Here is a 26,592-nt window from a genome sequence, read left to right on the forward strand (position 1 = left end):
CCTTCTAGGACTTAGAGTGAAGACACATTGGACCTTTCATGCTATCTACCACTTGGGTCAGTTATGAAGCTTTATCTCTCAGTTCCAAATTCAATATTTACGTTCCGCTTTATAATATTGAGGCTGGGACCCTGCAAATATGATGTTCCCATTCTCTGCTGGCTTTATATTCTGCCAAAGGTAGTACAAGAGGGACCATGGCAGACAGGATGAGGGAGAAGGTGATTTCCTGCCATTTGCTTGCTGTTGCTGCTCAGCCGCAGTGCTTCTGCAACTGCAAAGCTGCTATTGGTTCTCATCAGCAGGTTGCTTTGGAGTCTCACTGCCCGCCTTCACAGGTGCCAGTAGCAGGACAGCAGCACTCCACCTCAGAGGCTGAGGTCCAGCTCTGCACAGCCCCTCCTGAACTTCTGTAATACGTAGCAAAATTAATGGGGGAGGGTTTATAAATGACTTTTATACTTGATTTTTTTAATAAGAGATGGGGTCTCTGTCACCCAGGCTGGAGTGGAGTAGCACAACCGTAGTCCACTGCAGCCTCAAACTCCTGGGCTCCTCCCACCCCAGCCTCTTGAGTAGCTGGGACTACAGGTGCATGCTACCACACCCAGCTAATTTTTAAATTTTTTGTAGGAGTCTTGCCATCTTTCTCAGACTAGTTTCGAACTCCTGGGCTCAAGTGATCCTCCTACCTTGGCCTTCCAAACAGCTAGGATTACAGGTGTGAGCCACTGCACCTGGCCTATAGTTGATTCTTATTTAGTGTTTTGCTCCTAAAAGTAATGTTCAATAAACATATACACACAAGTCCTCACTTAGTACATGACCTGAACATTTACCCACATGCTTCATTAAAGTGTTACAAATTAAGTAAGAAGAGTGGTATATAGATGTATTTTCTTGTAATGGCATATCATAAAGTGGGTCAATTAATTATATTAGCTCTACACGTCTTAAATCATAACTTTATTGCTTTTGGTAATTTAATAAGATGTCCTCTATAATTTATTTCTCAGTGGTTTTCTTTTTTTAATATCCTTGAAAAAGCATGCTAACACTTTTATTTCAATTGAAAAAGTAGGTCAGACTTTTCCTGACGAAAAATGTCTAATTTGGTTCACTGGTTTGACAAGGAGGATTAGGGTATATGGAGGACATCTGCCATAAATAGAATGAACTACATCTTCAAGGATTCAATGAAAACACATTTAAAATAATAGTATAATAAAAGCATTTTATCAAAAATATTAAATTGGCCCCAAAAAGCAATGAAATTAACAACATTTTAATGTTCTCAACCCCCTCAAACTATATTAGATTAAATAAGGTGACAGAGAATCAGGGATAAACGACAGTCCCTTGATAAACTGAGACAAGGACAGCCTCTTAGTAAATGTTCCAGAAATTGAGACTGACTGGATAACACATCCTTTGGCAAGTCAAGTAGTTTCTAATCCTTTGCTTTCAAAACACTTGAATGAAAAACCGAGTTGATAGCTGATAAAGCATTAAACTAATTTTTACAGTTTTAAAATTTCAGATCATCATCGGATTTAGGAACTATTACTCAGAAGAGTTCAGAACACAATTGAGGGCCATTGCTATACTATACCTCCTTATCTACATATTCATGCAAACAAAGTTTCCTAACATGGTCTATAAAAATGAAGAGAAAAATATACTTGAGACTGAAGCCTGCCTCACTGGAGCTGAGTCCTCCTGTTCCTTGAGTGTGGGAACCAATCGGCTGGAAAAACAGCCCCACTCTTCTCATTAACGAGGCAGTTTCAATCAAATGTGTTTATGTGTTAATAGTTATCTATCAGTTTGTAACATACATATGTTTTCTGAAAAACTGAAGTGATACTACTTGTGAAAATAACTCAGGAGATATTAAAAGCTTTTGATCACAAAATAAATTTTAAATTTTTGACCCCATTTAAAGCTTTTTGTTGTAGAGAAGTAGGGCGAGGTAAGCACAAAAGACTTCCAGGAGGCAAAGTAGATGGCACTGGGGTCAAATTTTGTGACAGAAGCCGAATCACGTCCAGGAACGACCAAAACTTCCAAAGGAGCAAAAGCTAGTCCTTTTGCGGGGGCGCAGGCAGAAGCGGCGGCAGAAGCGGCGGCAGAAGCGGCAGGCGGAAGCGGCAGGCGGAAGCGGCAGGCGGAAGCGGAAGGCGTCCATCTTTACCGTGTTCAGACCCGGATGAGTCCTAGTCCCCGCCACACACAGGTCGTGGGTTCTCCTTTGAGAGTGACCACTGGTTCCTAGAGCTTTTCCTAAACTGGAGACGGATCCTGCCCTGGGGGTCTCAGTCACCGCGAGGACTCGAGGGTAACTGCCAGAGGTCCCAGGTGGCCCGAGGTGATGCCGGGCGCAGGGAGGGGCTGGGGCGGAGAGAGGGCTGGGGTTTGGGGCCGTGTCGGGGATGAGTGGTGAGGGGTGCCCAGAAGGGGGAGGCAGAGGTTGGTGTGGCCACGGTGGAAGGAGCCACAAACGTGGACATGTAAAGGAGGACCAAAAGGTTTTTTTTTGTAAAGATCAATATTTAGGACAGAAATCACAACCTTTCTATAAAACAAAACAACTGTATAATTTAAAAATTGAATTGTGAGCTAAACGCATATGAGGGGTTACGGGTTTTCAAAATTCAGAGATTAGGAGCAAAACCAAAAACTTGTAGCCCGCTTCCCTGTGAGCCTCTTCTCCAGCCCAGCCCGGCTGCAGGACTCTGGGGCTGCCTTGAGGACGGGGTGCTATTTCTCAGGTTTCGTCTGCAAAGGGGTAAGTCACCCCAAACCAGAGCACTCAGTGGTGGACTTACAGCCAATCCTGAGCTTCTCAAGACACTAGAGTGCACCCCAGCCTGCCTGCCCCCGAGGCCTGGCACCAGCCAGTGCGGCAAACCAGCAGGCAGGGCACTGAATGTCGTCTGAGCTGCAGGGCCCTTCCTGGGGCTGGGGGTCCAGGCCAGAGCCTCTGTGCTGTGTGTGTGTCCTTACTGTCCACGCCCGAGCCTCATTTATATGGAGAACACATTTCTTCTCAGAAAAGCAAACCTCAAGCAGTTGAACTGGAGAATGAGGACAGAAGGGCTTATGCAGAGCCGGGATATTTTTTACACAAAATCAGAGGAGGGCGACCTTCAAACTATTATTTGTTTTTCTCCTTTGGCCTGGAACTAATCAGCTTAGCATGGATGCCTGGGTGTCCCGGTGAGATAGCGAACCCATCTCATTTGGGTGTTTACCTTTTATAAAAGAAAAAAAAATCCATTTCTTATGAGTACATTGTTATTTATTCTAGAACTTCCCTCATAAACCGTCAGTTCATGCTATGTAATCCTATAAAGTAGTTTATTTTTAAAAATCGTTGAAAGGATAAGCAGAAGATCGCCTCTTCCTGGCATGTGTCAAATTGCTTTATATGTAGCTATTCTAGAGCAAAAATGCTGACTGTCCGTTGAATATTGTCACTTGCCAAGCAGAGAGCTGCGCACCCCTTTCACCCATCTGTGGGTCAGTATGCAGTGTATTTGGGGATATGACACAGTTTCTTATCGCTTCCCATCACCTGTCCTGTGTGAATTGAGGCGGAAGTAATCTCTTGAGGATGACCTGTCTGTGTTTAAATTGAAGATGAATATTGCCATGGACAAATCTGATTTGATCATTGAAGGGACAAGCCTCTGTTTTAGAATTCATTGTGTTGTCACTCAGTTTTGCTGTGATTGCCTCCTTGGTGCCTCCTCTTTCTGCGACAAAACCGAGGGAAAAAATAGGTGGGGGGAACTGTGCTGCAGGTACTTTTAAGTGGATTCAATTTACCTCTGTTTAAGTAGTAGAGAAATATGTTTGGGCCCTGGAGAGAAAAATGCCCTGGATAATTTGCTTATAAACCAGGCGCATGCCTGGAGTGACCAGTGAGTGTGGCAGCAGCCAGGAGGGGCCACCCTGTTGTCCCTGCCTCAGGGCAGGCTCTCCCACCCCAGCTCCTTGGTGGTTCAGGTGACCTTGTGCATCCCTCATGTCAAGCCCTTGCCCAGGCAAGCAGGGGTGGGGCTGGAGCCCTGGGATTCACACAGGGCACGCCGTGCACCATGAGGTCAGTGACATCATAACAGAAGCCTGGCTTCTCAGACCCATCCAGCCCCAGGAATCCTGAAAGTGGGCAGACCTTCAGGGCACTGGGACAATTTGGAGGGAAGGGAGGGGCTATCTCAAGGAACCCTGCAGTGCATGTACCTCTCAGGGAGAAACGGGTGACAGTGGAAGCGCCCTGGTCTGGGGATCAAGGTACCTGGGCTTAAAGCTTTGCTCCCATATACCTCAGTCAGCCTCCTCCTCTGCAAAACAAAGACAGTAAAGCCTGGCCACCCACCCCTTGCTTGGTCTTCAGGGTGTCAAGATGGAACTCACACTTTGAGTCTTGGCTGGGATGGCGTTTGGGCTGGATAAAGGAAGTACAGTGAAAGTAGAAGTGGTAGTCAGACCGATGTGCAGCTGGGTTTGCTCTGCTGGGCAGTGAGAAGCAAGTGCTGAGTGACTGCCACCCAGAGGAACATGGCTGTCAGGCCCTGTGACCCAGCACCTCTCCACCCTGGATGTAAACTGCTGAGAATCAAGGGGTGGGGCTCCCAGGAATGAGGCCATGGCAGATGAGGAGGTCTGGAGTGTCTAGCCTAGTGCAAGCTATTTGTTTCCCAGACAAATAGCTCAGTGGAGCAGAATAGAGAGCCCAGAAGTAGACCCATATAAATATAGTCAACTGATGTTTGCCAAAAGTACAAAGGCAATAAAATGGACAAAAGATAGTGTTTTCAACAAATGGCGCTCGATGTTCACATGAAAAAATAAAAGCATGTAAACACAAATCATAAACCCTTCACAACAGCTAACTCTAAATAGATCACAGAAACTACAAACGACAAAATTTCTAGAAAGTGACATTAGAGAAAACCTAGATGGCTTGGGTTTGGTGATGACTTTTTAGGTACAACACCAAAGGCAACATCTATGAAGGAAACAATAGGCTGGACTTCATTAAAATTAAAAACTGCTCTGCAAAAGATAAAGCCAAGAGGCTGAAAAGACAGGTCATAGACTGGGAGAATATGTTTGCAAAAGACACATCTTATAAAGGGTCATTATCTAAAATCAATAAAGACTCTTAAAGCTCAACAATAAGAAAATGATCTGATTTTTTAAATGGGCAAAATAATTTAAGAGATTCCTCACCCAAGAAGATATACAGATGGCAAATAAGCATATGAAAAGATGCTCCAAATCTTATGAGGGAAGTGCAAATTAAAACAAGAATGAGATGCCACTACACATCTATTAGAATGGCGAAAATCCAGAACACTGACAACACCAAATGCTGGTGAGGATGTGGAGCAACAGGAACGCTCATTCATTGCTGGTAGGAATGCGAATGGTACAGCCACTTTGGAGGACCGTTTGACAGTTTCTTACAAAACTAAATATAATCTTACCATATGGTCCAGCAGTTGCGCTCCAAAGAAGCTGAAAACTTAGGTCCACACAAAACCTGCTCACGGATGTTTATAGCAGCTTTATTCATTATTGCCAAACTTGGAAGCAACCAAGATGTCCTTCCTTCAGTAAGTGAATGGATAAATGAAACGTGGCACATTTGGGCAATGGAATATCAGTCAGTGCTGTAAAGAAATTAGCTAGCAAGTAATGAAAAGATGTAGAGGAACCTTAAATGCATGTTACTAGGTGAAATAAGTCTATCTGAAAAGGCTATATATTGTATGATTCCAACTATATGACATTTTGAAAAAAGTCAAAACTGTGGAAACAGTAAAAAGACTAGCAGGAGTCAGGCATTTGAGAGCAGGAGGAGTGAATAGGCATAGCACAGAGGATTTTTAGATGGAGTTTTGCTCTTGTTGCCCAGGCTGGAGTGCAGTGGCGCAATCTTGGCTCACTGCAACCTCCACCTCCCGGGTTCAAGTGATTATCTTTTCTCAGCCGCCTGAGTAGGTGTCCACCACCACGCCTGGCTAATTTTTTTTGTATTTTTAGTAGAGATGGAATTTCACCATGTTGACAAGGATGGTCTCAAACTCCTGACCTCAGGTGATCCACCCACCTTGGCCACCCAATGTGCTGGGATTACAGGCATGAGCCACCGTGCTCAGCCAGTATAATAAGATTTAAAGAGAAACATCAAAACATTAAAAAGTGGGAGGATGAAGGTAAAATGTAGAGTTTTTATTCGTTTTCTCTTTGCTTGTTTGTTTATGCACCAGTGTTAAGTTGTCATCAGTTTAAAATAATGAGTTATAAGATATTATTTGTAAGCCCCATGGTAACCTCAAACCAAAAAACATACAACAGATACACAAAAAATAAAAAGCAAGAACTGAAAACGTACCGCAAGAAAAAATCACCTTCACTAAAAGAAAGACAGAAGGGAAGGAAAGAAGGAAGATGAGAGCACAGAACAACCAGAAAACAAATAATAAAAGGGCAAGAGTAAGTCTTTAACTTATCAATAATAACAGTGAAAGTAAATGAACTAAACTCTCCAACAAAAGATTAAAAAACAAGACCCACCAGTCTGTTGCCTGCAAGAAACACACTTCACCTATAAAGACACACAGTGGCTGAAAATAAAGTTATGGAAAAAGATATTCCATGCAAATGGAAAACCCAAAAAAGAGCAGGAGGCCCTATACTTACGTCAAACAAAATAAATTTCAAGACAAAAACTATAATAAGAGAAAAAGTAGGTAATTATATAATGATAAAGGGGTTAATTCAGCAAGATGATATAACAATTGTAAGTACATATGCACCCAACACTGAAGCACCCAGATATATAAAATATTATTAGAACTGAAGAGAGAGATAGACCCCAATACAATAATAGCTGGAGACTTAACACCCCACCTTCAGCACTGGACAGACCATTCAGATAGAAAATCACTAAAGAAACATTGGACTTAATCTGCACTGTAGACCAAATGGACCTAATAACTGTTTACAGAATATTTTATTTAATGGCTGTGGAATACACATCCTTCTCAGCACGTGGATCATTCTCAAGACCGTATGTTAGGCCACAAAACAAGCCTTTAAAAATTCCAAAAAAATGAAAGTATATAAAATATCTTCTCTGACCACAATGGAATAAAACTAGAAATCAATAATGAGGAATTTTGGAAACTATACAAACATATGGAAATTAAACAATATGCTCCTGAATAAGAACAAAAACCATATGATCATTTCAATTGATGCTGAAAAAGTATCTGATAAAATTCAACATCCCTTTATGATTAGAAAAAATAAAAAATAAAAGCGATGTACAACAGACCCATAGCTGGTATTATACTGACGGGGAAAAACTGAAAGCCTCTCCTCTAAGATCTGAAACAAGACAAAGATGCCTCCTTTCACCACTGTTATTCAACATAGCACTGGAAGGCCTAGCTAGAGCAATCAGACAAGAGAAATAAATAAAGGGCATCCAGATTAGAAAAGAAAGTCAAATTATCATTGTTTGCAGAGGATATGATCTTATGTTTGGAAAAACCTAATGACTGTGCTGAAAAAGTATTAGAACTGATAAATTCAGCAAAGTTGCAGGATACAAAATCAACCTACAACAGTCAGTAGCATTCGTGTATGCCAACAGTGAGCAATCTGGAAATGAAATCAAGAAAATAATTCCATTTACAATAGCTACAAATAAAATAGGAAGAAACTTAACCAAAGAAGTGAAAGTTCTCTATGGTGAAGACTATAACACATCAATGCAAGAAATTGAAGAGAACACACAAAAAAATGGAATGATGTTTCATGTTCATAGACTGGAAGAACCAGTATTGTTAAAATGCCCATACAACCCAAAGCAGTCTACACACTAAATGCAATCCCTCTCAAAATACCAGTGACATTCTTCACAGAAATAGAAAAAAAAATCTTAAAATTTATCTGGAAACACACAAGACCCAAAATAGCCAAAGCTATCCTAAGAAAAAAATGAAACTGGAGGAATCACATTACCTGATTTCAACTTACACTGCAGAGCTGTAGTAACCAAACCAGCATGGTACCAGCATAAAAACAGACACACACCAATGGGACAGAATAGAGAACCCAGGGCTGGTTGCAGTGGCTCATGCCTCTAATCCCAGCACTTTGGGAGGCCAAGGCATGCGGATCACCTGAGGCCAGGAGTTCAAGACTAGCCTGACCAACATGGTGAAACCCCGTCTTTACTAAAAATACAAAAAATTAGCCAGGTGTGAGGGTGGGTGCCTGTAATCTCAGCTACTCGGGAGGCTGAGGCAGGAGAATCGCTTGAACCTAGGAGTCAGAGGTTGCAGTGAGCCAAGATGGCACCACTACACTCCAACCTGGGTGCAACAGAGTGAGACTCCATCTAAAAAAAAAAAAATAGTGAACACAGAAATAAATCCATCCATCTACATACAGTAAACTTATTTTTGACAAAGGTGACAAGAATATACATTGGAAGAAAGGACAATCTCTTCAATAAGTGGTGCTGAGAAAAAACTGGATATCCTTATACAGAAGAATGAAACTGGACACCTATCTCTCACCATATACAAAACTCAAATCAATATGGATGAAAGACAAAGACAAATCTCAAAACTATGAAACTACTAAAAGAAAACACTGAGGAACTCTCCGGGACACTGGACTGGGCAAAATTTTTTGAGTAATACCCCACGACCACACGCATCCAAAGCAAAAATGGACAAATGGGATCACATCAAGTTAAAAATCTCCTGCACAGCAAAGGATACAATCAACAAAGTGAGGAGACAACCCACAGAAAGGGAGAAAATATTTGCAAACTATCCATTGGACAAAGGATTAATAACCAGAATATATAAAGGGGTCAAACAACTCAATAGGAAAGCTAATAATCCAGTTTAAAAATGGGCAAAAGATCTGAATAGATATTTCTCGAAAGAAGGCATACAAATGGCAAACAGGCATATGAAATGGTACTCAATATCATTGCTCATCAGGTAAATGCAAGTCAAAACTATGAGATATCATTTCACCTCAGTTAAAATGGCTTTTATCCAAAAGGCAGGCAATAATGAATGCTGGCAGGGATGTGAAGAAGAGAACCCTCATACACTGTGAGGTGACAGGCAAAGGAAATGTAACATACACATAATTGGAATCCCCAACAAAATATTGGAAAAATGGACAATAATAAATACTAAAAAAGAGTAAGTCAAGAATGTCTTCCACAATCCTGTGCCTGCACATGTCATCCACAGGCCCAAGGGCTAGCCAGCCCTGCCTGCTGCCACCACCACTAGCACGGGGGGCCTGAGGGTGCACCTGCTTAGCCCATCACTGGTATCATCAACACCCATGTAAGATGCCCAGGGGTTCAATGACCAGTATGCAAAGGGCCTTCTGCCACCACAGCCAGTGCCTATGCTGCCACCCAGGGTAATGAGGACTAGCTTACACAGCACTTCAGCCTCCAGCAAAGCATCACCACAGCCTCCAGAAACAGCCACAGCCTAAGCTACCGAGGAACTTGCAGATACCACTGACGTTGATTACAGCCACAGAAATCATACAGAGACTACATTACAGCACCCACTTAGAATTAAAGCCAAAGTACCCTACCCAACTGACACTATGGATACAATTATAGGAAAAGTATTTCCCTAAGAAAGCTACTTCATAAAATTGGTAGAAGTGACTGTTACAACAGATGCACAGTTATCAACCTAAGGACACAGGAAACATGAAAAAGCAAGGAAACATGACAGCTTCAAAGGAACACAATAATTCTCCAGCAGCTTCAAAGGAACACAATAATTCTCCAGCAGCAGACCCCAAAGAAAAGGAAATCTGTGAAATGCCTGAAAAGAATTTCAAAATAATAATCTTAAGTCTTAGCAAGATATACAGAAAGACAAAACAAAGAAATCAGGAAAACAATTGATGATCTGAATGAGAAATTCAACAAAGAAATACATTTCATAAAATGAACCAAACAGAAATCCTGCAACTGAAGAATTCAGTGAACCAAAAATACAACCAAGAGCTTCAATAATCTATTATATCAAGCAGAAGAAAGAATTTCTGAATTTGAAGACAGAGCAACGAGCACTTTTTGTTTGTTTTGTTTTGTTTTTGAGACAGAATCTTGCTCTGTCACCCAGGCTGCATGGCATGGTCACAGCTCACTGCAGCCTCAACCTACCAGGCTCAAGTGATCCTCCCATCTCAGCCTCCTGAGCAGCTGGGACTACAGGCGTGCCCTGCCACACGTGGCTAGTTTTTAAACTTTTTGTAGAGATGGCATCTCACTATGTTGCCAAGGCTAGTCTCAAACCCCTGGGCTCAAGCAATCCTCCCATCTTGACCTCCCAAAGTGCTGCGATTACAGGCATGAGCCACCATGCCTGGCCGAAGACAAAGCTTTTGAAATAACCCAGTCAGACTGAAAAAAAAAAAAAAAAAACAATGAAAAGACTGGGTGCAGTAGCTCACACCTGTAATCCCAGCACTTTGGGAGGCTGAGGCGGGCAGATCACCTGAGGTGGGGAGTTTGAGACCAGCCTGACCAACGTGGAGAAACCCAGAGTCTACTAAAAATACAAAATTAGCCAGCATGGTTGCACATGCCTGTAATCCCAGCTACTCGGGAGGCTGAGGCAGGATAATCACTTGAACCCGGGAGGCGGAGGTTGCAGTGAGCCAAGATCGCACCATTGCACTCCAGCCTGGGCAACAAAAGCAAAACTCCATCTCAAAAAGAAATAACGGCCAGGCGCAGTGGCTCATGCCTATAATCTCAGCACTTTGGGAGGCCAAGGCAGGTGGATCACCTGAGGTCAGGAGTTTGAGACCAGCCTGACCAACATGAAGAAACCCCGTCTCTACTAAAAATACAAAATTAGTCGGGTGTGATGGCGCATGCCTGTAATTCCAGCTACTCAGGAGGCTGAGGCAGAAGAATCGCTTGAACCCAGGAGTTGGAGGTTGCGGTGAGCCGAGATCGTGCCATTGCACTCCAGCCTGGGCAATAAGAGTGAAACTCCGTCTCAAAAAAAAAAAAAAAAAAAAGAAAAAGAAAAAACAAAAGAAAAAAAGAAAAATCCTGTGTGACATATGGAACACCACCAAGTGAACAAATATTCAAATTTTAGGAATTCCAGAAAGAGAAGAGATGGGGAAAGGCATAGAAAATTTATTCAATGAACTAATAGCTGAAAATTTCTCCAGTCTTGGAAGAGATATAAACATTTAGGTAATTATTATGCCACTTTCTGGCTTCTGTGATACTAATGAGATGTCAACAATCTAATTGTCATTCCTTTGTAAATAATCTGTTTTTTTTTCTTTAGGGCTATTTTAAAATATTTTCTGTTTCCTTGATTTCTCCTCCTTTGGATGTATTGGGCTTCCTGACTCTTTGAAGAATCTATCCAGTGTCTTTAAGGTATCTGAAAAATTCTCAGCCATTGTCTCTTTAAATATTGCCTCTCGTGTTATTTCTATTATTTCCTTCAAAAACTCTTTTACATGTATGTTAGGTTCTCTGTTTCCATCATCCATGGTTTTTCAACTGTTTTTAAGTGTTTTGTCTCTTTGTTTCTCTGGACTGCATTCTGATGTAATTTCTTTGGATCTGTTTTCCAGTTCACTGTTTCTCTCTTCGTCTGTGTCTAAATCTGTTGTTCAGACATCGAATTTTATAGTAATTTGTTTCCTTTGTTCTTATTCTTGATTGTGAACTGTTCATTTGCTTTGTAAATATATTAGTTGGAATTATTTGAGTCTTTGACTTAATTTTCCCCAGAAAGATTTGTATTTCCTTCAACTTGTCACCTTGATGGGAGGGGGGAAGAGGTGTCTCCAGTATAGGACTATTTTTGTAAATAAATCAACTTAAAATTTGGACCACACAAAGTTAGACTGAATTTGGATCATCAACTTCATTGAGGTCTGCCTTGAGTTTATAAATTCTTGGGGTATTTTTTTCTCCTTCCTCAATGTTACTGCTGAACTGTATCTTGGCCTTTTGGCTAAGATCAAGTGGAGTATCTTTTCTTATCAGTTTAATGTTAGGGCTGAGACAGGAACATTTCCTGCATGTCTATGTACAATTGCATGAAATTTTTCATTTACAGTTTGAAGTTTCTGCTGTACAAAGGGTCCTCTTCTATTTTTCCCACCTTGGGAAGATCCTCAGGCTTATTTCCTCTCCTCTCAGCCCTCTATCATTGTCAGACTTGCTCAGTGTTTGCAGGGTTCTGTAGAAAACCTGGATTTGAAAGTTGGATTTGGCATGGCTTGTCTCCTGGGGTTCTTGATTTCCCTCTCTTTGTTCCTTGTGGTTTATTTGCTTTCATGAATGATCTGTGGTATGTTTTATAAGTTTCTTTGAATTCAACTATTTACTTTATTCAGGAGGGTTGTTCAGGGCATCTTATCTGCAATAGTATAAGAATTATAATCCCCAAGGCTATTCTTCACTTTCTATGTCCTTTTGGTTTGGATCTGTCTTAACCTAGAAAACAGAGCCTGAGGCAAGGATGTAAAGCATTGGGGCTTTATTTGGGAAGTGTAAACCCAGGACTGTGAGAGTGAGGTGCGAGAGATTGAGGCAAGGAAGGACCTCCCTGCAGTGATGCGATGTGAGTCTCAACTGTGCTGGCTGCTGTTTCATAAGGGGCTGAAGTGACCTGGCTCGGCAGATGCCTCTGGGTCAGCTGCATGGGAAGATGGCTCCAGGGATTCCACAGGAGGGGAACGGAATGTATCTTCTGGCTCTCTTCTGGCGGCTACTTTCCACTGGTCAGAGCTGTCCCCGCAGGGAATCAGGGGCCCTGGGTTGCATTCCCAGCCTCCTCAGCAGCTGCTCTGGGTACCACATCCCCATGCTGCAGAGTGGCATCTCATGAGGACACAGAAGTGGCAGGTGGAGCATGTGGCTGGTCTGCCTGGCTGCACTGAGTTGGTCGAGGCAGGTCAGCAGGAACCTGAGTGGCTGCTTGGCCCACACCACAGCAGAGCCAGGGAGACCAGCAGGCACACGAGATGTCTGCTGACACAGGGTCTAAGATGGCCCAGTTATGCACTGGCCCCTGTGCATTTCTGGGCCACGACACCTTCTGAATTGAGTTCTCAGTGTCATTACAAGTCACAGGTTTCTGGGTGATGTTAAGATATCACAAGGTGGACTGGCTATGTTTCCAACCCTTTTTCCTCTAGCTCCGTACACCATCTCCATCCCCAGCGCTGGCCCTTGGCAGCTCAGGGTAAAGTCATGTGAAGCTCTGGGTGCAGGTCAAGGGCTAGTGGTGGAGGTAAGAGGCTCTGCTCCTATGGGGTGGGGGTGAGGGGCTCTGTGCCTATGGAGTGAGGGTCAGGGGGTGAGGGGCTCTGTGCCTATGGGGTGGGGGTGAGGGGTGGGGGGCTCTGTGCCTATGGGGTGGGGATGAGGGGTGGGGGGCTCTGTGCCTATGGGGTGGGGGTGAGGGGTGAGGGGCTCTGTGCCTATGGGGTGGGGGTGAGGGGTGGGGGGCTCTGTGCCTATGGGGTGGGGGTGAGGGGTGAGGGGCTCTGTGCCTATGGGGTGGGGGTGAAGGGCTCTGCGCCTAAGGGCTAGTGGTGGTAAGAGGCTCTGCTCCTATGGGGTGGGGAGGCCCCTGGGGTGGATAAGTTCAGCTGTGGGGAGGCAGTGGGAAGCTGGTTTGGGTAGCGGGTTCAGACTTGTTTCCAGGCAAGGGTATCAGAGCCCTGCTGGATTTCAACCCTCTGACACCCCAAGTCCAAGGTCAGTACCCCAAGTCCTTCCAGGGCAGAACCTCAAAACCCCCACAGGAGTGATACGAGGTATGGAACTGGGTTCCTGGACAGCCAGCCTTGTAGGTGTGCAGAGACGTCCTCTTCATTGTGATGCTGTCACTAATACTGTAAAAGATTGGTCATTGTTCAGTAGGAGAAAAGAATTCTGTCTGCACATTACAGTCGTAATGCCCCCACTGGCTCTAAGAATTCCTGAAACAAGGGGCTCATCTGACCTGACGTCATGTGTGACCATGGAGTCCATCTCCCACGGACGTGAGCTGAGGGAGCAGAAGCCAGATTGTGTGCCCTTCCCCACACGAAGAGCCTCAGGTCTTGGTAGAGCAGCATGACATTCTGGTGTGGCCATAAGAGGGTGTGGGAGGGGCAGACGGGGGAGAAAAATGGGGCAAGCAGCGCCTCCTCAGCCCCCCAACCCAATGACCCTTAACAGCCACCAGCACCCACAGGAGCAGGTGTTTTAGGACAGCCAGTCGAGAAGGCGAGGTAAACATCCTCTGTGTCTAGCCTGGTGACAAGTTTGAGCTTATGGGACATTAACTCACAAAGCAAAGTAACTGCAGCACGCTGTGAACCCTCCCTGAATTAATGGCAGGGGAATCTGCTTCAAGCAGAAATGGGTTATCTACAGAAACTTTGGATGTGCAGTTTAGTCTGAATCCTCCCCATTAATGGTGAGGGTAATGGGGTGGAGAGGACAGCCTCAGCCGGCCCCAGCTGACTTCTCTCCGCTGTGGAAGTTAATTCTGTGATGCTGTGGGGCCTGACAGCGTTTTTTGCCTTCCTGCTTTTTTTAAGGCAGACATTGCCAATTCACCTTTCCGGAGTTGTCTTCTGTTCCGCGTGGGGAGAAGATGATCGAGGGGGCTGCTGGGAGCATAGGGGAGGCACCTTGTGCCCACACACATCTGCAGATGAACTCTTGGGGTCATGCGGAGTGAGTCCTAACTGTGTACGGCTTTAGAGGGCGTCTCCAACTCAACCAACTGCTCAGTGCTCAGAGCAGTCTTATCTCATGGATACATCATGACAGATGCCAATGGCAATGTAATCATCAGAAAGTATTCTTTAAATTTCTTGAAGCAAGCAACCAGAAATATTAAAGATAAGCCTAAATATAAGGCAGCCCTCTGTAACCCACCCACATGACACTGGTGTAGGTTTGCACACGCCTTGCATTCCATGGAGTCATCGAATGGTTATACAAGTGTTATTTGTGGCCAGGCACGGTGGCTCACGCCTGTAATCCCACCACTTTGGGAGGCCGAGGCAGGTGGATCACCTGAGGTCAGGAGTTCGAGACCAGCCTGACCAACATGGAGAAACCCCGTCTCTACTAAAAATACAAAATTAGCCAGGCATGGTGGTGCATGCCTGTAATTCCAGCTACTCAGGAGGCTGAGGCAGGAGAAATGCTTGAATCCGGGAGGCGGAGGTTGTAGTGAGCCAAGATCGTGCCATTGCACTCCAGCCTGGGCAACAAGAGCAAAACTCCATCTCAAAAAAAAAAAAGTGTTATTTGTGTTATTTTAATGTTCTCCCTTTCACTTCAAGTCGATATACCTTTCTACATGCCTAACTTTATTATACTTTTCAATACTGCCTAGTTGTATATTTAGGAGAGGTACAGTAATTTACTAAAACATCTCCATTATTGCACATTTAGTCAAATAGTTGTTTTTTCGTTTAAGTGATGTCATAATGAACATCTCCATGGTGGTTTTGTTTCAGGTGAGATTCTTGTTCTTAAGCTGCATCCCCAGGAGTAGGATTACTGGGTCAAAGCACAGACACATCTTTATGACTTTTGCTCTGTGTTACCAAAACTCACAAAAATGTTTAAAGGATTGTTTGAAAAAAGGTTGTGTTCAAGGTGGTTCAAGAGAATCAGGAGTTTCAGGCTGTCCAGAATTTTGTAAACCAAAACCACACCCCTAATGCAAAGAAGTTATGGATCTTATAAAAGAAAGAAAGAAAATCTGTATGACGCTGAGCAGAAAACATCACTCATCAGCCCGATACTTATTTTTGCCATAGTTGACTTGTTTAAAAAGCTGTAATTTCAGAAGATGTGTTATTTTTAGTAATAATACTCAGTAGCTGACATCTACTGAACTCTTAATGTTCCGGGCACCATAGTAAGCATTTAACATGAATTTTCACACATAATCTGTATGACAACCCACGGAATAGCCCTATTTTATTTTACAGCTTTGGAAACTGGGGTTAGAGAAGCAAGTAGCCCCAAATCACACAGGGGCATAGGGCTGAGCGTGGATTCACGTCAGCTGGGCTAAAGCCAGAGCCGGTGCTTTGGCTTTATCCAATTGTGTTAGGACTCTGTGCTACTGATCAATGAGCTATCGATGAATATCAGAAAATCGATTGATTAAGGACACCTGACAGTGAGGTCTTAGGAGTCACTTTTCCTCTTGGTACAGATGAATACCTACAACAGAGAGAAGGACAAAGCTGTCCTGCAGTGCCGGGCTCACCTGCGCCACCGCCTGCAGCCTTTGCTTCCTGACTCAGCCTAACTCCCAATGTCAGAATAAATGCAGGAGAGGGCAGTTTGGTGATAAAAGGAGAGGAACTATACTTGGAAATGATATTTTTCTGCATATTTAGAACCAAAAACCCCACTGGTTCATTGATCTCTGTGAGTAAAGGGTTAATAAAGCTCCCTTTCTGGAATTGAATCTGACCTCTGCTCACCTCCAGCTCTGTCCCTTGGGAAATCTGAGAGGGAGGGCCACCAGCTCTATTCCCAGGTGTGGGCAGCAGAATTCCAGCCTCGGCAAACGCCGTCCCAGAAGTGAGGTCGCCCGTGAAAATGCTGCGTTGCTTGGCAAGAGGGACCTGCGCCAATGTCATTAAGATTCCTAATCAGCTGACCTTAAAGTAGATGAGCCTGGATCCTCTGGGCGATGTGAGTCCCTGACAGCAGGAGAGGGGGCAGGAGGGGAAGGCGGGGACTCGAAGCATGAGGGAGACTGGCTGCTGCTGCTGCTGGCATAGAAGGAGCTGGCTTCTGCCAAGAACCTGAGGGAGCCCAGTCGCTGCTGCCTCCCCAGCACCCTCAGGCAAGACCTCAGGCTGGGCATCGCCTTGCCTTTGGCCTGGTGAGGCTCCAAGCAGAGAACCCAGTCATCACCCTCAGAAACTTGTTTCAGTCCTTTCGGTTTGTAACAATCCAAGCACCGCCCCCAGAGTTACATGATAACTTTCATTGTCTCCTTCACTGTGGAGGCCATGAGGAGCCCCTGCCTGAAAAATCCTCAAGTCCCCATGCTGAGTTGAACCGTACAGTCCGCAGTAGGGCAGGACCTGCCCGCCTGTTCGTCACCCCTGGCGGTGGCTGTGCGGTGAGTCTCCCGTAAGCAGCACATAACTCAGCTTCAAAAACCCAATCTCATAATTGTGCCTTTGATCAGAAGTTGTATCTATTTAGATTTATTGTGATTTCTGATATATTTGGATTGTTTATACCTCTCTATATTGTGTTTTCTAATTTATCCTTTTGTTGTTTTTTTCTCCTTTCTTACCCCTTCTTTTGGTTGATTCATTCTTTCTGCTTATCCCACTTTCACTCCTTCACACTACTTTGAGAATTATATTCTCTATTCCTGTTGTTTTGGTGGGGAATCTCAAAACTTTAATCTACTGTTTATCTTAGAGTCTAAAGTGGCAGGAGCAATGCTGCACGCCTGTAATCCTAGCACCTTGGGCGGCTGAGGTGAGGGGATCACTTGAAGCCAGGATTTCGAGACCAGCCTGGGCAACATAGTGAGACCCTGTCTCTACAAAATATGGAGGGGGGAAAAAAACCTAGCTGAGTGTGGTGGCATGTACCCGTAGTCCTAGCTACTCAGGAGGCTGAGGTGGGAGGATTGCTTGGGCCCAAGAATTCCAGGCTATGGTGAGCTACGATCATGCCACTGCACTGCAGCCTGGGCAACAGAGCGAGACCCCATCTCTTAAAAAAAAAAAAAAAAGCCTAAGGCTATTCAGTGTCTTCAGTCTCTTTTCATTCTTCTCAAACATCCAGAGTTTCTGAAACTCACGTAGTTTGCTCATAAACTACTCAAGGTAGTTTGCTGTACCTTGTTTTTCTCACCCCAGCAAGCAGGGCTATTGCTGTTACTGGTGTTAGGATTATTAACACAGTGAGTTTAACTTTATTCATGTTTATGGTTCCCTTGCTTCAGTATCTCTTTTTGTGTCTTCAACTTTCCTTCTGGGATTATTTTTCATCTTCAAAGGTCCTTTACTGAGATGTGTTTATGGTAAACCGTGTTGGTTTTTCTTTGTCTGGAAGTAATCTGTATTTTCCTCTTAATTTTGAAAGATAGTTTTGCAGATAACAGAAGTCTAGATTGAGAGTATTTTCCCCAAGTGCTTTGAGATATTACTGGCGCCTCCCGGCACCCAGTGTGGTAAGGAAGCTGGCTCTCAGCCTTGTTGCTGCTCTTTTATGGGTCATCTGCCTTTTCTCTCCTGGGACTCAGCATCCTCTGTCTTTGTTTTCTGCAGGTTCACCATCACTCTCCAAATGTGGGTTTCTTTTGATTTAGCCTGTTGGGATTCACTGGGCCTTCTGAATGTGAGGATTTATGTCTGGAAAATCCTCACCTGACATCTCCTTGAATGTGACCTCTCCTGCATGCTTTATTGTCTCTTTCTAGAATATTCTTTACATAAAGATGAAGCCTGTACATTCTCTCTTCTGTGTCCTTTCATATTTCTTTGATTTTCTATCTCTTTAGCTTTCTTGGCTGCATTCTGTGTAACATTATCAGATTTATCATTCGGTTCATGAATTATCTTTCAAGTGTGTCAAATTTGCTATTCATGTTTCTAATTTCAATGATATTTTAATTTCTAATTGTATTTCATTTTTGATAACATCTTGTTCCTTTGTCACACTTCAGTACCCTCTCTTATTTCTGTAAATATGTTAGCCGTCATTACTGTATACTCTGCCTTGGATTATTCCACTATTTGCATTGTGATGAGTCTGATTGTACATTTGGTTGTTTCTGCTGACTTACCCATGGTGGCCGGCTTCCTGGTGCGTGTGGTGCCTCTGTGTTGTGAAATCACATTTGCATGCATGGGACTCTCAGGCATCCGAGGGTGGATCCCTGCAGAGGCTTTGTGCCTGCCTTTGCCAGGACCCGAGCAGCCCACTTGGAAGTACATTTTGTGGGTGTGGATGCTTTAAACCTTGAACCCACTTGAGGATGGCAGTGGTAGAAATTCTCGAGACTTTTTCTCTTATTTGCTCCTCTTTTCAGAGCCGAGGCTCACGCAGCAAGCGTCCCTGCCACTTCCCCGTGACTGGCGGGTTTCCCTGGCTCACTCTTGAGGGCCCTTCTTTTGGGCTCCTGGCTTCCTGCAGGGCTTCTGCTCTGGGTTCCTGCCTCACACAGGCCCCAGGCTTCATCTCTGTGCTTGCCTGGGGCTCATTAATGTTCAGGATCCTGGACAGCAGGGATCAACAGGACCTGTACAGACGGTGCTGTGCCCAGGTGGACTCACGCTTCTCCATGGCCTCAGGCCTTTTGGGATTCAAGTTACCTTCTCCCCAAAAAGATTTTCAAATGTGATGTTATTGGGCATTTTCGGGTTTTAGAGGCTGTCTGTTGGGAGGCCTCCTCCCCCATCTCTTCTGCTGTATTCTGGAAGGGGTGTTCCTGGCCCACCTCCTCAGGATTAGAGAACTGCATTGCCGCCGACATTTGAAGGACTCGACACAGTGGCCCAGCCTTCCTGTTCATCTTCTCTGTCTGCTTTCCAGCTTCTGCTAGGCCTGTGCACCGTGGTGTGTCTCCTGCCCGCTCCCTGCATGCAGAACGTCACTTGTTCTACAGCTTTCCCTGATGTGGTCTCACTGTCCCTGTCCCTGTGGCCACTTATGTGCCTGTTTATTCATCCTCCATGTTCCCTGAGGAGACGGGCCTGGGAGGGCAGAGGCAGGCCCCACTCACACTCAGACCCCAAGCCTGGGCCTACTGCTGGCCACGTGGTGGCTCAGGAGACCGTGGCATCTGCCTCCTGGCGCAGGTGGCATGTGCCCGTTCTCCTGAGGGGCATTCTCTGCAGACCAGCTCACATGCTGTAGCATTGCGGCCTTTCTCAGGAGTCAGCAAGCATGTGTGTTCGTGCAAGCCTTTCTAGAAAGTGACGGGTGGGGACGTGTTGGCAGTGGGGGGAGGGGAGGGGCCGATAGCCTTGCAGCCTCTTGCGGGCCCAGGGCTGTCCGCTCTCCGTACCACTCACATGGCCACCCTGAGGGCAGTGAACCCGGGGCCGTGAAGCTGCTCTGGTGTGTCCTGAAAAGGCCTTTCCATAGGAGCGAGAGGTGGCCGTAATGGCTGATGGGTCTGGAACGCATGGTCCCGCAGAGAGGCACGGCTCCACGGCGCCCCCAAAATGTGAGCCCCTCCATTCACTCCTGTCATTCCCGCTTGTCGGGGCCGGGTCACTGAACTCCCAGGCCCGCTTGGGCTGCCCCCCGCTCCCTGAAGACTCCGTGGCAGAGGGCTGGAGTGCAGGGAGGAGATGGCCCCAGCAGTGGGGGGTCTGGAAACATCTCCCTTCATCATCTTTGGGGTCCCCTCTGGACCCGCCATGGCCTCCCTCACACTCCTCCGTGCAGGTCCAGGCTCTGCCTCACACGTGCCTTGCTTGCCACACTGGGGGCTGGGAGGCTGGGTGGGCTGGGGGTCTGCCCTCCGCCTTGAGGAGCAGGACATCGAATCCACCCTAAACTGACTCAGCCCTGCCCTGGCCTCTTCTTGAGGTGGAAGCGGTGTGTGCAATGGGAGGGGTGTCGGGGCAGAACTGTGTCCCCCAAAATTCATATGTTGAAGCTCTAACCCCTAGAACCTCAGAATGTGACTTAGGTCTTAAAAGGAAATAGGGGCTTAAAAATGGGGATTGAGTTAAAACGGAGGCCTTAAGTCATTAAATTGTACACCTTCAATACGTAACCTTGCAGTGCCCCAGATACCTTAATAGATAAATGTTTAAGGCAAAGGACATCAGCAGGGTGGCTGGGACCCAGTCTGCCTGGTGTCCCTGTAAGAGGAGGGGGTGAGGATATAGACACACGCAGAGGGATGGCACCGTGAGGACACAGGGAGGAGACAGCGTCTGTGAGTCCAGGACCATCTCAGGAAGCAGCCCTGCCCCTCCTTGACCTCGGAGCCAGCCTCCAGGAGAATCCCTCCGTGTTGGTGCTGAAGCCCCCAGGCTGTGGTGTTTTCTCACAGCCGCCCTGAGTGACTCACAGCAGTTTGTCCCTGATGACTCTGTGCTCTCCTGGGGCTATGTCTTGGTTCTGTGGCTGAGCACCCCTGTTCCCTGCCCTTCCAGGCTCCTGCTCTGACAGCTGGGTGCCTGTGCTGATCTCCTGGCTGGGGCCGGAGACTCGCAGATAGGAAGTGGGTATTCCTGCCAGGAGCAGGGCGTGCACTTCTGAAAACAGGAGGGTGATCGGTGCAGGGGAAGCCTGGCTTCATGTGCTGCTGGAAGTGGATCTGGGGATGAGTGACTCGGCTTGAATCCCTCAGGAGGTGTCGGGCGCCAAGGTCCCGAGCAGTTCCTGCTTCTCGTTTTTATAACCTGAGGTGTCCCAATTAGCTGCTGCTTCAGAACAAATCACCCTCAAACTTAATGGCATAAACAACCACTCATTTAATTGTCTTCCACAGTCCTCTGGGTCAAGGTTCCAGGCGGGCTGGGCTCAGGGCTCTACTTGCAAAATGCACTTTATGGGCCCAGCTTCTCCCTGCCGTGGTGGGGGCCCAAGAAGCATCCCCAGTCTGGTGGAGTCCCCGGTCTGGATGACCCCCCGGTCTGGTGGAGCCCCCCGGTCTGGTGGAGCCCCCCGGTCTGGATGAGCCTCTGGTCTGGTGGAGCCCCCAGTCTGGATGAGCCTCTGGTCTGGTGGAGCCCCCGGTCTGGTGCAGCCCCCGGTCTGGATGAGCCCCCGGTCTGGTGGAGCCCCCCGGTCTGGTGGAGCCCCCGGTCTGGTGGAGCCCCCCGGTCTGGTGGAGCCCCCCGGTCTGGTGGAGCCCCCGGTCTGGATGAGCCTCTGGTCTGGTGGAGCCCCCGGTCTGGTGGCGTCCCCGGTCTGGTGGCGTCCCCGGTCTGGTAGAGAACGTTGAGGTGAGTGCTCGAGGGGTTGCTCGCTGCTGCTGGGCCCCACGGTGCCCACCTGGCCCCCAGGACCCCAACCCCACACAGCCCTTTGTTAGCCTCCCCACCCCATGCACCTTCCTCCCTCCCCAGAACATCTGGTGAAGATTTGTTGTAACCTCCTGGGCCCACAGTCCTTGGGGCTGCTGCGGTCCGAGTGTCGGTGTCCCCCAGAATTCACGTGTTGAAATCTTACACCCCAGTGAGCTGGTGTTAGGCCTTTAGGTGAGTGATGAGGCACGAGGCTGGAGCCCCTTGAATGCGATTCCCAGGGGTCAGCACAGCCTCGTGCCTGAGAAAGCAGACGCAGCCGGGGAGTTGAGACACGGCGCCAACACGATGTGAGCAGGAGGCCACGCATAGAGACGAAGTTTAGTTTCATTAAATGTCTTTCTCTTTGGCCGCGTTGCGGGAAAAATTTCTGCTGCTCACGAGTAGAAACACAAAGCAGACAGAAGAAGCCACTTGCTGAGGGAACCCAGGGAAGGGTGAACAGAGGCAGGCAGGTCGGAGGGCCAGGGAGGAGCCTGGCGGCCCGGAGCTAGGGGACAGGCAGGGCCACCTTGTGAAAGCAGAGGGAGCCTGGGGGCTTGGGTGGGTCGACCCTTTCTTGTGCTGCCTGTGTTCTTCCCTGAGTGCAGGAGAGAGAGGGAGACACAGAGAGAGGGAGAAAGAAAGGGAGAGATGGGGGAGAAACACAGAGACAGGGAGACACAGAGGGAGAGACATAGAGGGAGAGACAGAGAAACATGGGGAGAGATAGAGGGACAGAGAAGGAGTGATGGGGAGAGAGGGAGAGACAGAGAGACTCAAAGAGACAGTGACTGAGGGGAGAGGCACAGAGACAAACAGAGCAGAAGGGGGAAACAGAGACAGAAAGAGACACGGAAGAGGGTCCTGGGCGGGGCCAGGAGCTCTGGTTTTGGGGGCAATAGGACTCAGTACCCGAGGGGATGTGCTCGGCGTTTGGGTGGATGGGGGGCGGGTGAGAATGGGGGAGGCTGTTTCCTCAGTTTGGAGGCTCCATTGACTGTAGGAGACACAGTAGCAGAGAGAGTGAAATGAAAACTAAATCGATCTCGGAAGGAGACAGGGCGGAAGACGTGGCTTTTGTCCCGAAGTTTCCAAAATTCCATGCACTGCACAAGTGTATTTGGGGCAGGGTGTGAACGGGCTTCCAGGATCCCCCACCTGATGGAGCCGAAGGTGCGGCGTCACCTGCTTCAGGAGAGCAGCTGCAACCACAGCTGGCCAGGGCCCCGCCTCCCAGCCCAGCTCTCCTGCCTGCCTGGGTGGTAACTCCACCCACAGGTGGCAGCCGTGGCCACGTGTCTCTGGGCCACGTGATTGTGTGGGGTCAGGCGTGACTCCTGCTGGGCTCTTCCACCTGCCAGGCTTGGGGGTGGGAGTGGGAGGACGTGGCTGTTGCTGTGGGGGCATCCCTCTTGTCACCGTGGCAGAGGAGCCTGGAGGAGATCCCAGCAGTGCCCCCCCACACACACCCGGAGCGGATCCCAGCAGTGCCCCCCACACACACCCAGAGCGGATCCCAGCAGTGCCCCCCACACACACCCGGAGCGGATCCCAGCAGTGCCCCCCACACACACCCGGAGCCGATCCCAGCAGTGCCGCCTGTGTCCCTGGATCCAGCCGTGCCTGAGGCCACCTCACCCACTGCCTTTTGAGTGGTGGAAGTTGTGCTCTTGAACTTCAAAGCCAACTTGGGTCAGGCTTTTGTTCTCTTGCGGCTGAAAACGTGCTGGGGTGGTTGTGGGTGGGTGGCAGGTGCCTCAGGAGGTGGCACAGCTTCGTGGGCAGGGCCCAGAGGTGCTGACCCGGGAGGCCTCCTGGTGCCACGGGGAGAGCCATGTTGAGGGGTCTGGCACGGATGGTGGGAAGCACCAAGTAAGTGGCCCTGACTCCAAGAGAACGGGGGAGTCCAGGGCTGCAGGACGGAAGGGCCCAGTGCTGCCTGTGGCGGCCGGGGCAGTTCTGGCGCCTCACGGGAGGGGCAGCCGTGGAAGCCCCATGAGCTTCCTAGGTACCAGGCCCTCTCTCGGCAGGACGAATCTCACGTGGTCCTTGCTGCCTGGATGGAGGGGAGTGACTAAAGATGGCAGGGACAGAGGCGTGGCAGGTCCTGTCTGCAGGGTGCCGCCCCGAGGTGGAGCAGGGGGCCTGGCAGTCCCACCAGGCTCAGAGCCTCCCCTCACCCCGCGCTTGGCTGGGGACATCAGAGCCTGTGGTGAGGGCACCTGTAATTCTTGATGGGGGCTCTGCTGGGTCGGGGGCTGCTTAGGCCTGGATGCCCTGATTGTGCCCATCCCCCTCTCCCTCCACACTGTCCCCTGCTCCCGAGGGGCTCCCTGCAGCCCTGACTCTGGCTGGCAGGGGAGGAGTCTGTGGTTGGTGGCGCACAGCAGGTGCGCAGCTGCTGACCAGAGCTGCCCCCGGGCTGGGGAACTGAAGGAAGGGCTGTGGAGCCTGAAGCCTGGGCCTGGCCTGTGCTGCGGCCGCACCGCTGGGTGATGCAGGAGCCACTCCACCTCCCTGGCACCCCAGCCTCATCCGGCAACCTGGGAGCGTGGGCCTCCTGCCCCTCCAGGGAGGCCCTGGCCGTGTCCTCATGGGGCCCCTCCAGGTCCTTGTGGCTCCAGGTCGGGACAGTGGCTGTGAGATCTGACCCTCCCGTTCCCCCTCCACCAAGTAGGAGAAACCCCGGAGCATGAGCCCTCGTCCTTCACCGTCCCGGGGACAGGGGGACCCCCAGATGCTGCACGGCTGACAGGCCAACGTGGCAGAAGCTCCAGCTTCACAGGAAGCCAGTGACCATGAGAGTCTGTAGCTGTAACGAAGCCACAGAGCTGTGGCTTTCTTTCCCCTTCAGCTCTAGGAAAGGTTATCTGCCCTGCACAGATCTCCGGAGGCCTGGCTGGGCTCTGAGAGCATCAGACTGATTATCGTAAGAAAATAATCTCTGCAGACACATTCCTTGCTAGAAGCAGGGGACAAAGCCCAGCTTCAAAGACAATTCCACACACGCCCTCCCTGCCCTGCACAGCTGCCTGCCGGGTGGGAGCAGAGCCCTTGCAGCCGGGCTCAGGGGCCTGGGCAGGGACAGCGTGTGGCAGGGGCACAGCTGAGACAGGAGCCTCAAAGCGACACCAACCCGACGTGAAGCTACAGTTGAGGAGACACAGCTGCCCCCATTCCCGGGCCTCATCTCCACAGTGAGACGCTGGACTCTCTCCCTGACCCACCGTCTCTTAGAACCTCCCCTCCATCCGGAGCAGTTCGGCAGCCCCAGGGCAGCCAGGGGAACCCTGCCGAGTGCCTCTGGGCCGCCACAGACCGCAGAGCCCGCGGGAGCCTTGCTCACACAGCCTCAGGTCCACTGTGGTCTTGGGGGAAAGCCCTGTCCTGGGACAGGGGAGCCGGGGGTCCTGGCCCTGGACCACCATCTGGGGACCACGTTGTCACGCCTGCAAAGCTCCCTGCCCCACCCCCATGTGCCGGCTGGTGTTGACACCTTTGTAGAGTGGGAACCTGCCTCCGACCCCAGCCTGCAGCCACAGGGCAGGTTATAGACCAGGTGAGAGGGCGCCGCGCCCAGAACCAAGGAGCACAAGTCCGCAGTGCCCATGAGATCCTCATGCTGGCCGGCGCAGGAGCCATCCTCGGCCTCTGCAGGTCCTCGTGGGAAACCGCGGGGGCACGTGGGGCGGCTGCAGGGTCCGCAAAGCCGGCTGTTTGCGAAGGGCGCAGCTCCACCTGGAACAGCCGAGGCCGCCCACGCGCTTCCCGCGGGATCAGAGCAGCCTCCACGGCTGTTGTCTCAGGCACCACGGGATGCCTTTCTTCGTTTCAATAGCTGTGGGAAAGCCTCAATCGGTCCTGAAAGAACCCAGATGTGCAGCAATGACAAGGCCTTCTCTGAGACTCTAGAACCTTCTGCCATCTCAGACAGGAGGGAGCCGTGAGGCAGGCGGGAGATTTGCAGTCAGCAAAGGACGGGCAGGTGGGGCAGCTGCACACCCAGGGCCCTCTCCACGGTCTTCCCGGGCCCACCCCTCCCGCGGTCCTGGGTCATCCACCTGCTGGCCTCACTCTGCCCACGCGGCCAGGTCCCACCGGCCCCTGAGCTCAACAGACCAAAGCTGGCCCGACCCCACCCCCAAGAAGAATGAAACAATTTTTTTTTACCTCTTGCAGAAAAGTAAAAGATCATTTATTCATTCTGTTTCTAGATAGCAAAACTAAGTGTCAAAAGCACCTTCTGCACACAGTCTGCACACACTGGCCGGTGGTCCTGTTCCCGCAAGGTTGAGCTGTGTTCCAGAGACATGGGTCCTCCGGGTGATGAGGAGCCGCTGGAGGGCCCTGAGCTGCACGTGCTAATGATTAACGCCCCGTCCGTGCTGGCCGGTTTCTCAAATGCCTCCTGACGATTGCGCACAGCCGGACATCATTTGTACTGAGAGACAAAAGGAAATCACTGAGGCTTTCTGAGGTGAGCTGGGCGGCCGC

At 48.7% G+C, this 26,592-nt stretch overlaps 1 long non-coding RNA gene and 1 other non-coding gene across 2 annotated transcripts, besides 1 other annotated feature; both read left to right on the forward strand.

The window, feature by feature from the left end:
• The first annotated feature begins 2,201 nt into the window (after positions 1–2,201).
• Positions 2,202–26,592, forward strand: LINC00334 (long intergenic non-protein coding RNA 334). Its single transcript, NR_135279.1, has 3 exons — positions 2,202–2,368; positions 11,394–11,488; positions 26,313–26,592. It is a non-coding gene; the product is annotated as a long intergenic non-protein coding RNA 334 (long non-coding RNA).
• LOC124905062 (U2 spliceosomal RNA) lies at positions 12,055–12,245 on the forward strand. The gene has a single exon (XR_007067940.1). It is a non-coding gene; the product is annotated as a U2 spliceosomal RNA (small nuclear RNA).
• Positions 23,910–24,461: an enhancer, noted in NCBI's record as "H3K27ac-H3K4me1 hESC enhancer chr21:46675963-46676514 (GRCh37/hg19 assembly coordinates)". NCBI's record gives its function as "activates a minimal SCP1, AML or CMV promoter by ChIP-STARR-seq in primed H9 embryonic stem cells {active_cell/tissue: H9 hESC(primed)}" and the evidence as "EXISTENCE:reporter gene assay evidence [ECO:0000049][PMID:30033119]".

This window comes from Homo sapiens, chromosome 21 (assembly GCF_000001405.40).
Source record: "Homo sapiens chromosome 21, GRCh38.p14 Primary Assembly".
NCBI classification, from domain to species: domain Eukaryota; kingdom Metazoa; phylum Chordata; class Mammalia; order Primates; family Hominidae; genus Homo; species Homo sapiens.